General features: G+C 40.8%; 1 protein-coding gene across 5 annotated transcripts in view; it reads right to left on the bottom strand.

Moving 5' to 3' along the window:
- The window catches only part of SYNPO2 (synaptopodin 2), a 210,567-nt gene that overhangs the window by 59,689 nt on the left and 134,160 nt on the right, over positions 1–16,718 (bottom strand). The window lies entirely within an intron of this gene.

Genomic DNA, 16,718 nt, shown 5'->3' with positions numbered 1-16,718 from the left:
GTGACCTGTGAATTTAAACTTAAACTCTGGACAAATAAAAGTTGCCTTGACTTTCTAAAAGTTCTGCTGTAGAATATTAAATAATCTATGTGCTATGGACATGAAGGGTTAAATAGCTACTTACCTATTTCTTCAGTTAACAATGAGTATCTACTTAAGGACAATATTAAAGTGCTGTTTTTATTTCAGTATCTGTCCTTAGTCTAGAAGTCAGTATCTAAATATAAATATATATAAATGTATCTGTGTCTCGTGTACAAGGCTATGTTTGATTTAAGATTTTGAGGTGGAGAAGCAATTTTTCTTTCTCTCTTCCATTTTTTTTCTGTCAATTGATCCATTCTTCTTTTAACTATGTATGGAAGGGCCATAGGGCTAGGACACTGCACAGGTTCAAGGGGGCATGGCCACATTAGACACATGTTAATGGCACCCCCCATGGGGCACAAAGCCAAGGAGAAAACGAACAGTGGGTATGAAAATGGAGAGACTTTTTACCTCTTGAGGGGAAAGTGTGAGGGTAGAAAGAACAGCCATGTGGAATAGAAATTCTATGATGGAGAGCTCAAATATAACTTCACTTCACTGCACTCATATGAAACTCTAGGCCTAATAGATTTGTGCCCCAGTGAATGGTTTCAGGTGGTTACAGATTTTCTAGACTTATGTCTCAGCAGATGTTGCGAGAGAGAAAAAAAGAAAAGAAAGAAAGAAAGAACAGCAGGAAGACATGGACCCTCTCTGCAAATGACATAATTGAATTCTAAGAAGTGGAATTAAAAGTTTTTGTTATTTCAACTTGTTAATCTTTGCTTCTTCTCTCTCCTGTCCACCTCCCTTCCCCTTTCTCCTGGAATCCAGCCCTGGCAACTCAGATAGCGATGAGGTCATGGGCTTCAAAATATGGCCATGGTATGAAGGTGGCAGCACAAATTTTTAAACAACATTTCAGCACCATGCCACATTGCCGAGAAGGAAGCCTGTGTAATGTGAGCAACTATAGCTCATGCTATTTTATTAATCCTGGGTGGTGATCCCTGGGGTTGTATTACTCGTGTGTGTCTGTTTCTCTCTGTGTGTCTGTGGGTGTCTTCTGCTGTTTTACATGACAGTCATCAGGAAGTCTTCCTCAGCTTGGACATATCAAAGGGAGGCGGGCTCTCATTTATTATTAGCAAGGTCTTTCACATTAAAAGCAAAGAAAGAGTGAAAGGAGAATGATCCTCTCAGACCCAGGAAAATGAAGGACAGGTTATCTCAGTGGGTTACAAGTGGTCTTTTTCCTTCACAAGGAAACAATGCCTCACATCTCACATCCCCTACCTGTGTCAGTGTCTTGCTTTTTATTACCTCATTAAGTCGCCAAACCTTGCTACCTGGTGGAAAAAGATTGATAGTGTGATAACAGGAAGGCTGTCTTGCTCACATTGCAACAGAGAGAGTGGCTCACATTGAACCATGATTGTGCCACTGCACTCCAGTCTGGGTAGCAGAATGAGACTCTGATTTACTTATTAAAGGAGAGTTGCTTTTTTCCCAGATAAACCCATGGTCAGGAGCTTCTTTCTGTTTAAAGGGCCTTTCCCTAAAGCTCCTTCAACTTTTCTTTTGCCAGCTTCTTCAGAGAACAAATGACTTCTTGGGCAAATACACGGTGGTATTGAACATCTCTACTTCAAAACCTTTAAAAAGTACCAGGCAATAGTGCAAAACCCTGAAGATGGTAGTAGATTAGAAGGAAACTGTTCTCTGTGTTCAGAATCTACCCTATGTGCCCCAGAATGTCCTTCTGTCTTCAAATATGATTTATCCTGCAAAGCCCAGATCAATGAAGCCCTTCACCTGATTATTCTCCTGTACTCCCCAGGAAGAGGTATTATTAGTCTATAAACTCAGTAAAAATTACTTTGCAGCCTTGGCAACATAGCAAGACCCCATCTCTACATAAATAAATACATGCATACATACATACATACATACAAGCTAGCTGGGTGCGGTGGTATGCACCTGTATCTCTCTTCTGGTACTTTATATTGTAATTATTAGATAATATATTATCTCTACTATCTTTACAAAAGCAGAAACCTTATTTTAATCTTATTATCCAGGCTGGGTGCCATGGTTCACGCCTATAATTCCAGCGCTTTGGGAGGCTGAAGCAGGAGGATCGTTTGAACCCAGGAGCTTGAGACCAGCCTGGACAACATGATGAAACCCCGTCTCTACAAAAAATTAAAAAAAAATTAGCTGGGCACAGTGGCACGTGCCTGTAGTCTGAGCTATTTGGGAGGCTGAGGTGAGAGGATCACCTGATCCTGGGAGGTGGAGACTGCGGTGAGCCATGGTGGTGCCACTGCACTCCAGCCTGGGGTGACAGAGTGAGACCCTGTCTCGAAAAACAAAAAAACTTATCCATCATGGTAAATGAGTAATAATAACAGCTAAACATTTCACTTTACATACATTATCTCTAATCCTCACAATAACCCTGAGAGGTAAAGGCTGTTAAATCCATTTTCCAGAAGACAAAACTAAATCTTTGAGATGTTACATGGCTTGCCCAAGATCACACGGTCAACAAGTGTCCAGCTCTGCTGACGTTTAAAGGACCTCCTGTGCTCTGCACATTCTAGTACAAGTTAGAAAGAAAAAACAAAACAAAAACAAAAACAAAAACAGAGTAAGAGAGAGAGGGAGGGAGGGAGTGGGGAGGAGGGATGGAGAGGAAGAAGAGTTAATCTCAAACTTTGATCCATTTATTGGAATAATACTTCACAGACTCACAAAGTTGCAGAGTTGTGAAAGATTGAAAACATTAAAACACCTACCCTCTATTTTTCACAGACAGAACAACTGAGATCCAGAGAAGTTAAGATCCCTGTTAAAGGTTGCACAGCAACTGACACAGCTGAAACTAGCACAGACCTCAGTGATCTTGAGTCACACTCTAAGGTGACTTTCTCTGTGAGATGTAACTTTTGAACCAGGCACTAAGATATTAATACTCATTTAAAACAGGATAGCAACTAATAGACATGTAAACTTGCCTGTTTTAACTCTGGTTTACTGAAATTCTCTGGCTCCTAAGAAGCAAGAATTACAATTTTTTAAAGTTTTCATGATTAATTTTCTCATCATCAGACACATAGAAAATACCTAAAATACACACGATATTACATGATATTACACGATAATATAATTCTCTTTTGTTTGTTCACCAGAAAGGAAACTTTGCCCTTAAAGTGTGTTTCACTGCTTAGCAGTCCTAGCAATACAAATAATGCTTCATCCTTGAGCGCTCTCTTAAATTCATACTTTCAAACAGCAAAAAGGCTGCAAAATTTAGAATATGACCAAGCCAGTGAAGTGTGCATATTAAAAATATATTTACATAATTCAAGGCCTTGTAATTTTCCTCAAATAACTGACACATACTTTTTGAAAAATGCGGTTATCAAGCAGTGCAGTTAACCAAGTCCTAGTCTCCCATCCTTACCACCCCCGTCAGAATCCTAACACTGTCTTCTCCAGGAAGCGCCCCTCTCCTTTCTCCTCAATTCCCCCAAAGCTATTTTACTGTCAGGAGTCAGGGACATCTAAGATCTTGGAAATAAGATAACAGGGCTTGCCTTGGAGGGTTAACTCTAAATCAACAGGTTGCCTATGAGAACAGAAATGTTTAAAGTTGCCTCATAAGTGGACTGAGCACAGAACAGAGCTGACTAATGGGAGGTATTAACATGTCTAAGGAAAGAATGTGTCTTTCTGAATGGGTTGTCTAGAAATAGAAATTAGAAAAGAGTCATAGACAAACAGTGCCCATAAAAGTACTGCCCAGAGAAGAAGGCAGCCAGACTAAAGATTTGCTCTGCCTGGTGCAAGTAACAGGTGCATTCAACTGCAGAGGTGAGCAGAGCAGGCATCCACTATTGAATCTTTCAACTCACAGACTTTGTTCTGATTTCACACTCACAAATCTAGCTTTACTAATAAATTTGGTTCCTAAGGGAAACTATCACACTGACCAGAAGATGCAGGTATTCAGTCTTATCAATATGTTTTTTCCCTCCCTCTGAAGCAAGAAACTAGAATTCTAGTTTAGCCTCAGTGTCCCGTGTCTTCAGGTAGCATGAGTATAGTATCCCTAGATATTGTTTGAACAATGACAAAACTGGTTTAGAATCTGCATATTTGAGAGTCAGCTGGGGACTATGCTACACTGACAAAGGTAAGGCCATCTTGAGAGATCTTATATCAGCCAGTCAATCAATGTTTCCCTACCTCATTACATTTTCTTTTAATTTTTTTTTTTTTTTTTTGAGACGGAGTCTCGCTCTGTCGCCCAGGCTGGAGTGCAGTGGCGGGATCTCGGCTCACTGCAAGCTCCGCCTCCCGGGTTCACGCCATTCTCCTGCCTCAGCCTCCCAAGTAGCTGGGACTACAGGCGCCCGCCACTACGCCCTGCTAATTTTTTGTATTTTTAGTACAGACGGGGTTTCACCGTTTTAGCCGGGATGGTCTCGATCTCCTGACCTCGTGATCCGCCCGCCTCGGCCTCCCAAAGTGCTGGGATTACAGGCGTGAGCCACCGCGCCCGGCCTTTTTTCTTTTAAATTTTTGTCAAAATTAATTGACTTCTTTTCTGCTTGCAAATGGACATTTATTGATTGCTCTGTCTTATGACACTTTTTTTTTTTTTTTTGAGACAGAGTCTCACTCTGTCACCCAGGCTGGAGTGCAGTGGCGCGATCTCAGCTCACCGCAACCTCTGCCTCCCAGGTTCGAGCGATTCTCCTACCTCAGCCTCCCGAGTAACTGGGACTACAGGCGTGTGCCACCACGCCTGGCTTATTTTTTGTATTTTGAATAGAAATGGGGTTTCACCATGTTAGCCAGGATAGTCTCAATCTCCTGACCTCATGATCCACCCCCACTGGCCTCCCAAAGTGCTGGGATTACGGGCGTGAGCACCTGGCCTTATGACATATCTTACATCTTGCGTTATATTTATTTTTATTGTACAAAAGTGTATCTCTCTCCTTGAGAGAAGGTATTGTTTTGTTTATTCAATCACTTTTTTATCAATATGGAAATGATATACAATTATATTCTCCGTATACTCAGGCTAGTAGGGGTGGCAGACAGAAAAACAAGTTATACATCTGGCAAAGGTAATAAAAGTATTCATAAAGAACAGAAGCATTGCAAAAGTGGTGGACGAAGGGGGTGGCTGATCATTTTGGGAAACCTTTCTAGAGGAGGCAATGTCTGAGTTAGATTTTGGGAGATGAGTAAAACTTCAGTCACTGCAACCAGAAAGGGGAGGAGATTTCAAAGCAATGGGAACAACAAGTGCAAAGGCAAAAGCGTGAAATGACCTGGGAACCAAAGCACAGCTTAGTGTTTCCAAGATGTGAAGTGCAAGGAAGAGAGTCATGAGAGAGATGAGGCTGGACAGGTAGAGAGAGGATGAAAAGTTTGTGTATGCCGCATAATGGAGTTCAGGCTTTCCATTGTAGGTGATAGGAGCTAGCAAAAGCTTTTCAGTACAAAAGAGCCTGGATCGGATTGTGTTTAGTAAGACATCTTTAGCATCAATGTGGGCAAAGAAATAAAAAGAGGCAAGACAGAAAAAAGCAAAATTAGATAGATGATAGATAGATAGATAGATAGATAGATAGATAGATAGATAGATAAGATAAATAGATACATGGACAGATAAAGAATGAAAGACAGCATTTGGAAAAGTCCAGACCTAGCACTATCCAATAGAAATACAACATGGACCTCAAATGTAAGCCACATGTTCAATTTTAAACTTCCTTGTAGTCATTTGTCCCAGGTCTCATAAGTTATTGGTTATTAAGGGGCAGAGCTAAGATTTAAACCTGGGTAATCTAGCTTCAGAGTCAAAGCTTATAATTTGACTCTGAAGCTTACAAAACACATTATACTGCCACTCTGAATGCAAAGCCTGTGGAATCAGACAACCTGAGTTCAAATAACTCCTCCTTCACTTACTAACTGTGTAACTTGGAGCAAGTTATTTAATTAACAAACTTTGGTTTTTCTCATTTGTAAAATTGGAAATAATATGCCTATCTTATGGGGTTTTTGAGAGGAATAACAGACATAATGTATATAAGATACCCATCACAGTGATAGGTATACAATAAATAGTAAATAATAGTTGCTATCATCACATATATTGGGCTTGGAGCTCAATATATATCCAAGTTGGAATATATATTTCCCATCAAATATCTAACATAGTATCTGGTCAGAGCTCTGTTTTTTTCAAGAAATGACTTTGATTCATCACAAAGGCATATGTTTAAAGAACTTTGCAAATGAGACCTACAGGCTGGGATCATCCTAAGTCAATAGCTCAAATAATCATGGGTATTAGATCATGAGACAGCACTGGTGAGTGTTCATGGCACTTAGATACCATAGAGAATTGCACTGGAAGTAAAATATATGTACCTTGCTCTTACATTCAAGGAGTCTAAAAGAATGAACTGAATTATGAGAGCACGTTTGTTTGTATGTCCTTTCATTAGTTTGTGATTTGAAAAATAGTAAATAAAAAATATTCATTAGACAAGGATCTATGGTTATATGCCTAAAATCCAAGAAAATTTAATCAAAGGGTCTAAGTACATCTTATCTCCTATTCAGATAATCTAATTCTTGCATGGGCAGGCATTTGGATAAGAAAACAAATGCCAAAATTTTAAAAATTAAATACCCAAAAACTAGAAACAAAGATCTTTTTCTATAACACCTACGATTTTTAACTTTAGATGTCCAAGATGTTTATGGGAATAACATGCCACTTTCTACCAAGCTTGTGGTTATGTGATGTAAATTTACTCTGTCACTAGGATTGCATTTTACCAAAACTTTGCCTTTTTCTAGATGATAAAATGCTAGGTACAAAGCCTTTTAAGAGTTTTTAAAGAAAATTCCTCTGTAACCAATTAGTACTCAAACTCAGCGATTCCCCAGTTCATATATTGAATTAACAGTGCTCATATTGATGCATCTAACCCAATTGTCACTCCATCTCTCAATTCTTTAAATTACATTTAGGTGGTAGGTCTCCTCTTTCAAAACAGGGCTCAACTAATAACACACAATGTTCTGAACGCCAAGCTCATTTGATTTTTCTCATCTCAGTTTCTGTCAGGAGACCCGCCTAGGAAACCTCTCCTCTACAAGATGTTCAGTGGTCACATGCCTGGCTTGTCCTACAGGCACAGCAGATGAGTAACAAGTGTGTTTATAGATTTTGTGATGCTCCAGCTGTCGCTGATGGCAGGGTTTTCTGCTAAAATTGGTGAATTTTTGGCTATCTGCCTCTTTCCCTGAGTAACTCAAGCATCACCAGCGGAGCACAGTGGTCTTAGGAGGCCACACGTTGGAGAAAGAAATTAGATTCTTTGTAGGAACAAAACTACTTGTCAGAGTGTGGCCTAATATGGTGGTAGTGACTGACCCAGAGGCCCCCTAGAAGAACCAAATGTTCAACAGTAATAAAAGGAACTATTAATCAGCTCAGGGGCAGTGCATAGGACTGACGATCAGCTGGTCCGGCTTAAGCCTATGTCTCTTCTGGCTTGCTAGGTAAGACTAGGCAAAGCATTAAATCATTCCGTGCTTCCAGCATCATAAGTCCTGGGATTAAACATGATAATGGAATATATTTTCAACATGTCAGAATATAAGTAAACATTCAAGAGTCCTTTAAAATTTAGAAAATTCATAAAAATATTTCAAATACAAAGTAAAAAGTAATTTGGGGGAAAAACATGGGAAGAGAGAAAAGACTCTGAAATCAGTTAAACAGGTTCTTATACAAACATCTAGAAATACCATACTAAGCTGTAGGTCATATAGGGGGAAAACCTCCATCATGGGAGTCTGTAGTCTAAGAAACTTGTAGGCCAAGAGACTTGTGCTTGAAGAGGAAAGTGGAGAAGGAAGGAGGGACATTGCTGTGGCTTACACACAAGGACAAATCCAACACTTGAGTGGTGATATGTTGAAACTCACACAGACACATTAACAAGCTGTACTTGACAATTTGATCAAATGGAATATATTTCTCCATTGACTTTTAAACCAAACTAAATCAAGGAGGCCTCGTAAAATGAGATACGTTTGTCTATAGGAAAAGGTTTCCAAATAAATTTCAATCCACTAAAATTATATTTCTCTACAATGGCTAATCCTCACCGTCCATCATGCTTACTATTTCATTTCCACTTTGTAAGGCACTATTTTTTTTTAAAGAGAATAACTACAAACACACACACGTGCACACAAACACACACAAATACACATTTTGTTTGTCTTCTCTCTCTTCCTTCTTTAATTAATTCCGAAAATCAGAATTTAATTTAAAAATTTAATTGACAATGTAAGTAATTCTCTTATGCTGCTTTATTTTCCAAGGACTAACACTGGTTTCCCATTAACTCGCATATCTACTCTTATTATCTTGCAGATCGACTCTGCTTGGTTTGAGTAGTTTTCTTAAGAAGATGAATCTAGCTTTGCCCAACCACCCACCCAGGGTCCAGAGTAGAGAATGCTTTCTCTTTGTGCAGAGCCAGAGTGGAACTGTCTTGTAGACAACAGAAGATGCCCCACATCTGAGTAGCAAGAGGTAAAGCCATGCAGAGAAGTCAGGGTCCCAAAATTGGTGGGCGCTTATGAAACTACTCTAAATGGAAGTAGAGTCAACCTCAGAAGCTTTGCTGAGCCAGGTCAGGATCTCCAAACCTAAGATGCAATAGCAAGTCCAGGTGCAAATAATTCCAGATCAAGTGCATTTATGAGGTTGTTGGTGGGTGAGTAGGTCATGGAGAGGGCTCAGGGATGGTGAGAGGAGTCCTAACTTACTGCCTATAACAGCAGGTCCTATGGTGTGAACCAAGGACCTTGGAGGCATCCCTGAGATTCTTTCAGAGGGTCTTTGGGGTCAAAACTATTTCCTAATAATAATAAGGCATTGTCACTTTCACTTTTATGAGTATACAGGGGAGCTTTCCAGAGGCTACCTGACAAGTGATGGCACCATCACTGTGATGGCTCCTGGAATGTGTGCTTCCGAAATTGGAAACCTCATTGTCATCCTTGATTCATCACACCCTCACTCCATTATTTCTTACATCATGTTGCTTCTACTTCAGGATTGTCCCTTGAATCCAGTCCTCTTTGTCACAGTTTTATTTCAGTCCTTCCTCAGACTGTTTCAGCAGCCTGGTGTTTGAACTCCCCTCCAATCTCTTCACTTTTAATCCATCCTCTACACTACCATAATCAAATCATGCATCCACCCTTCCACATAAAAAACCTGTGTAGAGTCTTGCCTATAAACAGAACAAAATGTAAATGTCTTCACTTATCATACAAGCAAGATCCCCCACAATCTGACCTCCACCTACCTCCCTAGCACCATCTCCTGCCGCCCTCTTTTTCCTCCAGGCTAAAGTGAGGCCACAATGAAGTTCTCCCTATTCTTAGACCGTGTCAGACTCTTTTAAGACTCTACACCTTTGCACATGCTGTTCACTCTGGAATGAACTCCCCTGAATCCTTTCCAGTCGAACTCCATTAAGCACTATCCTCTCCCCGTTTTATTCTATACTTTCACTTCCTCAGCCAAGCACTTCTCTGCTTCGGGGCATTTCTATGTACTGTTTCTGCTTACAATGCTCCTCCTCTCACCCTTTGCATTGCCTGCTGTTTCTTACCCATTGATTCTTTGATGATATGAGGCCAGAAGTCCTCCCAGCCCCTTTCCCTCTAAGTACAATTGTTAGAACTACAGGAGTCTCTACTTGGCTCTGCCCCAAGCACCATTCAGGCATCTCTGCAAAAGTCAGTGCCTAAGGAGCTTCAATAGGCAACATATACCTCTTTCTTCTTTCTCTTCTTCTCCCCCACCCCTGCTCTGTCTCCCAAAGTCTAATCACTTCAATCTTAGACTTTGATAGAAGGCTCAACTTTGATGGAAACTTCTCTTGAAGAGCATTCCACTGGTAGTTATAATGAGCAGTAGGTCATGCAGTTCCTTTCCTTAATTAAAAAAACAAAAACAGGCCGGGTGCGGTGGCTCATGCCTGTAATCCCAACACTTTGGGAGGCTGAGGCGGGTGGATCACCTGAGGTCAGGAGTTCAAGACCAGCCTGTCCAACATGGCGAAACCCTGTCTCTACTAAAAATACAAAAATTAGCCAGGTGCGGTGGTGCGTGCCTGTAATCGCAGCTACTCAGGAGGCTGAGGCAGGAGAATTGCTTGAACCTGGGAAGCAGAGGTTGCAGTGAGTCAAGATGGCCCCACTACACTCCAGCCTGGGTGACAGAGCAAGACTCCGTCTCAAAAAATAATAAAAAATAAATAAAAAGTGGTCACGCACTAAAAAGAGTCATTTAATTAGGCCAGAACTAGGCCCGGGAAGTTGAATTTAAAGTCCTGGAACTGATGGTATTAGCTGCACAATTTTATGTTTAAACCCAAAGGAGTTGACTTGGAAGGGCCTGTTGGCCCAGTTCAGGCTGCATGTGGAGCTGCTTTCACCTGGTGCTCTTGCCGGAAGCCCCTGAATGCATTTGAGGGTTACAATTATCCAGCTTAGGCCGGGCATGGTGGCTCACACCTGTAATCCCAGCACTTTGGGAGGCCGAGGCGGGCAGATAACTTGAGGTCAGGAAAACAGAGACCAGCCTGGGCAACATGGTAAAACCCCATCTCTACTAAGAATACAAAAATTAGTGGGGTATGGTGGCACGCACCTGTAGTCCCAGCTACTCAGGAGGCTGAGGCACGAGCATCGCTTGAACCCGGGAGGCAGAGATTGCAGTTAGCTGAGATTGCGCCACTGCACTCCTGCCTGGGCGACCGAGCGAGATTCTGTCTCAAAAACAAACAAACAAACAAAAACCAATTATCCAGCTTAGCCTCCCTGCTCAGAATTGCTGGGTCTATTTGTTTGGTCTGGTCTGTCACTCTGTCTGGAAGGTAAGATCCATGAGAACAAGGACCATGTCTGTTTTGTTCACCATCTTATCCCCAGCATCTGGCACAATATTTGGTGTATAATAGTGCTCTGTAAACATCTGCGGAATAAATAATTCAATAAGGGACTTATTGATTCTTCAGGGTCAAGCAAAGATGTATTTCCTGGGAGAAGTCTCTCCTCCTTTTCTCAGGCAGCCATTGCTCTTGCCTCTGAGCAACCACAGCACTGCACGTTTCTTTGTGAGAGAAAGGAATAGAACATTTCCTGAGGGTCCATCCTGTGCACCATGTGAGCTGTCAGTTCTATGTGTTTCTCCCTTCATTCTTTCAATAATCCAATATGATAGGTATTATTACCCATACTTGCAGAGGAGAAAACAGGCTAAAAAAAAATCCAAGTCATACAGCCAATAATAGATCACAAAACCTGTATGCAAAGCCAGCCCCATTTCCGTCTTCTCATTAAATCACTCTGCCATATGGGATTATGCTTGATGTTTTAATGTATCTGTTTACAAATATGTCTCACCTTTAGGGGCAGAGGCCATGTATATTCATCTCTGTATTCATGAAAGATTTAACATCTGAATTAGAGAGTACATGAATGAGTGAAGTGGATCGGTCTACTGATGGACGGGGGTCTTTGCAGCCTCAGGGCTTACTCTCAGGGACTCTTGGTGTTGTCTCCTTGGAGAGCTTCTGTCTGTGTCCCTGCGTGAACACAAGTTAGGCCTCCTCCACCAAGTCCCTAACTCTTAGTACATCCACTTATTTCTTCTGTCTGTGCCACAAGATTCCCAGTTACTGTGTGCATTTGGCTTATGTTTGCTTCACAGGATATTTCTATCATGATGAATCAATGATATTCCATGGAAGCATGACTATATGACACATTCCTTTATTACTCAGAACACAAACTGTTTTTTTACTTGCAGCTGAAGTCACTGCTAGCACTGACTGTCAGTCAATAAAACGAGTCCGTGACTCTGTCAGATTCTTTTGGGAAATCAAAAATAGCATGCTCTCTGTCTTCAGATGCCCTCAGGCTTGCTAGGGAGATATGATCACACATGAAACAATTAGAGAATGGTGCAAACAAGTTCAGAATCATATGCCAATTTGAGTCACAGTTTCAGGCTCTGACTCTCACTCAGTCTTAAGCTTGCCAAAGCCTTAGCTATTCCCAGTTACACTCCAGAAACCTCTTCACATGCTGTTTACTCCCCCAGAAGATGAACACCTCCTCTCAAGCTATGGGCACAACATCCCACAGGCATAATCATGAGCCAGGGCCTGATGCTTTCAAATGTATTCAGGGTCTTCTGGCAAGGGCAGCAGGCTAAAGCAGCTGAGTGCAGCCGGAACCAAGCTCAGATGCTTTCCCAAGTCAACTGCCCTGTGTTTAAACATTAAAGTATGCAGTTAAGATCCCTAGTTCCAGGCCTTTAAATTCAATTTCCAAAGCCTAGCTCTGGCCTAATTCAATGACTCTTGTTTTATGTGTGACCACCTTGTTCTTTTTTTGTTGTTTTAACTGAGGAAGGGAACTGTAAGACCTGCTTGGTCACCATAAGTACCAGTTGAGTGTTCTTCCAGAGAAGTTTTCATCAAAGTTGAGCCTTCTGTCAAGATGTGGAGACCCTCAAGTCTGAAGCGATTCGATGACTTTGGGGTGGGGGAAGGTGCATGTTTCCTGTGGAGGCTCCTTGGCCACCAACCTTCGCAGAGATGCCGGCACTGTGCTTGGGCAAAGCCAAGTGTGAGGCTCCTGTAGCTCTCACAGCTGTGCTTACAGAGAAAAGGGCACACAGGATGTCTGGACCTGAAACTCCTCATCATAATGTCAATTGAATTCCTCCCAAAATGAAAGCTGTGGCCATTTATTAATAAAAATAAAAGCCCACATTTTCACAAATGTTTTTCAGAATAACTCGTAGGTAAAGAAACTCCTTGGAGCTTTTCTAAAGGAAATGCTGGATGTACTTTCCAAAACTTCAGTTGGAAACTAAACAGAATCCAAATGTCCTGTCTTGTAGTTGAAAGCAAGTACCATTTTTAGAGTTAGGTTTTGCTCAACCTGCTGTATAAGGTTGTGTTAGGAACCTCTGCTTTTAGGGAAGTTTCCTGCTGTTCCCTGGGGCAGAACTGTTTCATTTCACATTTATTTGCTTCTCCATTAACACCTTTTTCCCATCCCCAGGAAAAAAAAAAAACACTAAATTATTGGTTTTCATAAAAACATGACAGTGTACAATATTAAAACCTAAAAACCAAACCAAAATAGAACAAATACAACAAGCTACACAGGTGTACATTCACATAAATTAATGTTAGAAGTACTGGCAAATAATAGTTTATGCAATATTTGCTCTAGCTATTCAAATAAACAGGACTAAAATAACTTTCCTGCTCATGAAATCAAGTGTGAAAATTGAGGCAGTACATGTGCAGATTAGCAAAAACATGTTGTTATGTTTGAATTTGAGCTCAAATTCTCCCAACCAATAGCTCTGTGGCTTTGGGAAAAATAATGATAATTTTAATATTTATTGAGAATTATTACCTGCCAGACTCTGAACTAAAGTACTTCACATGGTACAGAATATTTCTGAGTCCCTTTCCTTTTCTGTAAGGTTATAATGATTATACACATCTTATATGTTATGAAGAATATATAAAAGGTATGTTAAAGACCTAGACATAGAGTAGGTGATTATAAAAATGGATGTTTTAAAAACAAAAATGGAGCAGAGTAATAACACTGCTAATATACTTAAATAGCAATACAATTCTCATTCTACTTTCAGATGCATCAGTACTAAGTGAAGAAAATAATCTAGAAGCAGTAATTCGAGTTCACATTAGGCTTTTTTTTTTTTTTTCATGTGGGCTGCAGTGCAGAGGTATGATCTTTCCTCACTGCAGCCTCAACCTCCAGGGCTCAAGTGATCCTCCCAAATAGCCTCCCAAATATCTGGGACCACAGGCACTCACCACCACACCCAGGGAACTTTGTTTTATTTTTTGTCGATCAGCCTGTGTTGCCCATGCTGATCTCAAACTTCTGGGCTCAAGCAATCCTCCTGCCTCAGCCTTCCAAAGTGCTGGGATTTAGAGGCGTGAGCCACCATGCCTGGCCCATATTAGGCATTTTAATAAGTGAAGAGAGTAAAATTAAGAATAACTAATGCAACATTATCTGCATCAAAGTGAAATTCTAAAGAATGAAAAGCATCAAATTTCTCCTTGATGTTCCTTAGCTGGGACATTCGATGTTATGAGATAAAATAAATTTCACTGTAGTCTTAGAAGAAAGTTATTAGACTAGTTCTTCTTTTATTCTACCTTTATTAACTTGTTCTGTAAATTTGAGGAGTCAATTAACATTTTCCTGTGTCCATTTAGATATCTAAAAATAACTCATTAGAGGTTTTATTTATTTGCAGTTTCACCAAGAACAATGATAAGGATAATGGGATTTAAAGAAAACTTTGACTTAGCATAATTCAGCAAAACTGTGTTGGTTTATTGAGTGAGACATATAACACATTTGCAGTGCCTATGAATGGACAATGGTGATCCACTAGAATTTTCTGTTCCATTTTGTGATGTCTATAGGGAAGTTGTTGGAGGCTTTAGGGGCCATATCAATAGCACACTGAATAACAGTCTATTTCCTGGTTCCTCTGACCCAGCCAGGGCATTTATTTAATGGTGAAATGAGATGGAAAAAGGAAGAGTATGTACATCATGCATCCTGAAATAGAGGATGGAACAATGTGGAAGTAAAATTATTAGCTAAAATCCCTCTCAGAAAAGGTCTATGCTCCCTGCGGCCAGTCGTGGTTTGGACTAGTTTAAAATACAGCTGGGTAGTCTAAATCATAGACTAAATCCTAGACTAGATATAGTGGAAATGGCCACATGTGCCTATTATCATCTCTCAAACTTGGGATGGGCCAGTGATGTTCTCATAGATACCTTTGGTATCACCAATGCCAATTGAGATGAAGGTCGAGTTTCGGGGCTACTTTGAAAACCACATGAAATTTGGTTTGTAGTACTCTGAGTGACCTAACCCAAAGAACATTCTTGGCATAGAAATTCAAGTTTGAATTGGCATTTTTAAACATGTCGGACTTATTTTACTATCTCTGGCTCATAAAAGAGTAAGTTGGCAGAAAAAAGCAAGTCTTAACTGGATTACTGAGTTGTACATTCATGGTTACAGTTTCCACTGTGACTATTAGAAAATAAATGAAAATGTAAGTATAGAAAATGTAGCCTTTTGCAAGAGGGCATCCTATGGGCTGATTACTTTTAGAAAGGTTTGGGGACCATAGGGTGGGTTTAAATATTAATTGTAACCTATAAAAGGATTTAAAATTGTGAGAACAAAGGTCATTTATGCTGGGGGTTGGGGATTTTACATGTATATGGATTGGCAGAGGGGAAGAAGGTTTCTTTCATAGAGTCACATCCTTGTCCACAGAATTTCTAATTTTAATTCAATGGGAGTGCAAGGAAAACCTAACAGAGTGAGAGGTACAACATCAAGCTAAGATTGCTGAAGAGTTGTTCACATCGGAGGGCTAAATAGCTGGCCCCCGTATCCTGCTCCTCTTAACTTCATTAGGGCCTACAGAATAATGTAGTAAATGGTGGTGTTCACATGAAATATAGCCCAGCAACCTGGTGTGACCACAAAGGCAGCCAACTGTGGATGACATGGTACAGAATTAGATCCTCGATCAGGGATACTGTAAGGACACTGAACCAAGTTCTGTGCAGGGCCCAGCCCAGCCAGCAGATGTTAAACAAGACACTTCTAGATGCCTAATTGGCATTGATTAAACACTTGTTAATTGATTGACTTGCTGATTGACACAGTGTCACTGAGAATGCCCAGTTGGATGACAAGGCTTTTGACATTAACTCTATTAATATGTCAGTGGCTTAGGCAAGTCTCAATGTTTTCTTGACACAGGATCCTCCTGTCTACAACACAGAGGATAGTCACTTGCCTACAGCAGTTTTAGGGGAGAAGAGAAGACTGAAAAAAGATGAGATTATTGTTGAAGTCTGAGGCATCCCTCTTCCATCAAAATGTGCCAGCACCAGACAGCTTCCACAGGGAGTCAGAGCTTGACAGCTCAGCTGTCTTCTGAAAGGAGAGACAGACGGCAAATCATGTTCCAGGAGCACGAGGCATAGCCAGGAGCATGAACCCAGCTGAGGAGCAGGGCTGAAGGACTGGCAGAAGCTAAGGAGCACTGAGCAGACAAGCAGGATCAAACCTCAAGGATTATCTGCCTCTACAACCTTCCCCCAAACCCTGCTACATCCTACTAGAGCAGTGGCTCTGAAGCTTCGGTGTACGTAAGGAGCACTTGGGATACGTATTTAATCTACAGATTGCCATATCCTACCCCAGAGACTCTGAACCAGTAGGTTTCTTGGAGCCTGGGAATCTTCACATTAGCAAGTGCTCCAGGTCTAGGACCACACTAGGAGAAGCATTGACCTAAAGGGAACCCATTGAGCTTTGTACTTCTTAATGTCAATGACAAACAATAGTAAATGACAAAAAGATGCCAGTGGGTCTCATATCCAAACAGTTCTAATTTTGGATTTCTCAGTGTCTTGAGGACCAATGACATTCAGAAACACTTCCCAAGTATCCAT

Source organism: Homo sapiens, chromosome 4 (assembly GCF_000001405.40).
Source record: "Homo sapiens chromosome 4, GRCh38.p14 Primary Assembly".
NCBI classification, from domain to species: Eukaryota; Metazoa; Chordata; class Mammalia; order Primates; family Hominidae; genus Homo; species Homo sapiens.
The sequence above is the reverse complement of the archived record's forward strand: the minus strand, read 5'-3'. Positions and strand labels throughout refer to the sequence as shown.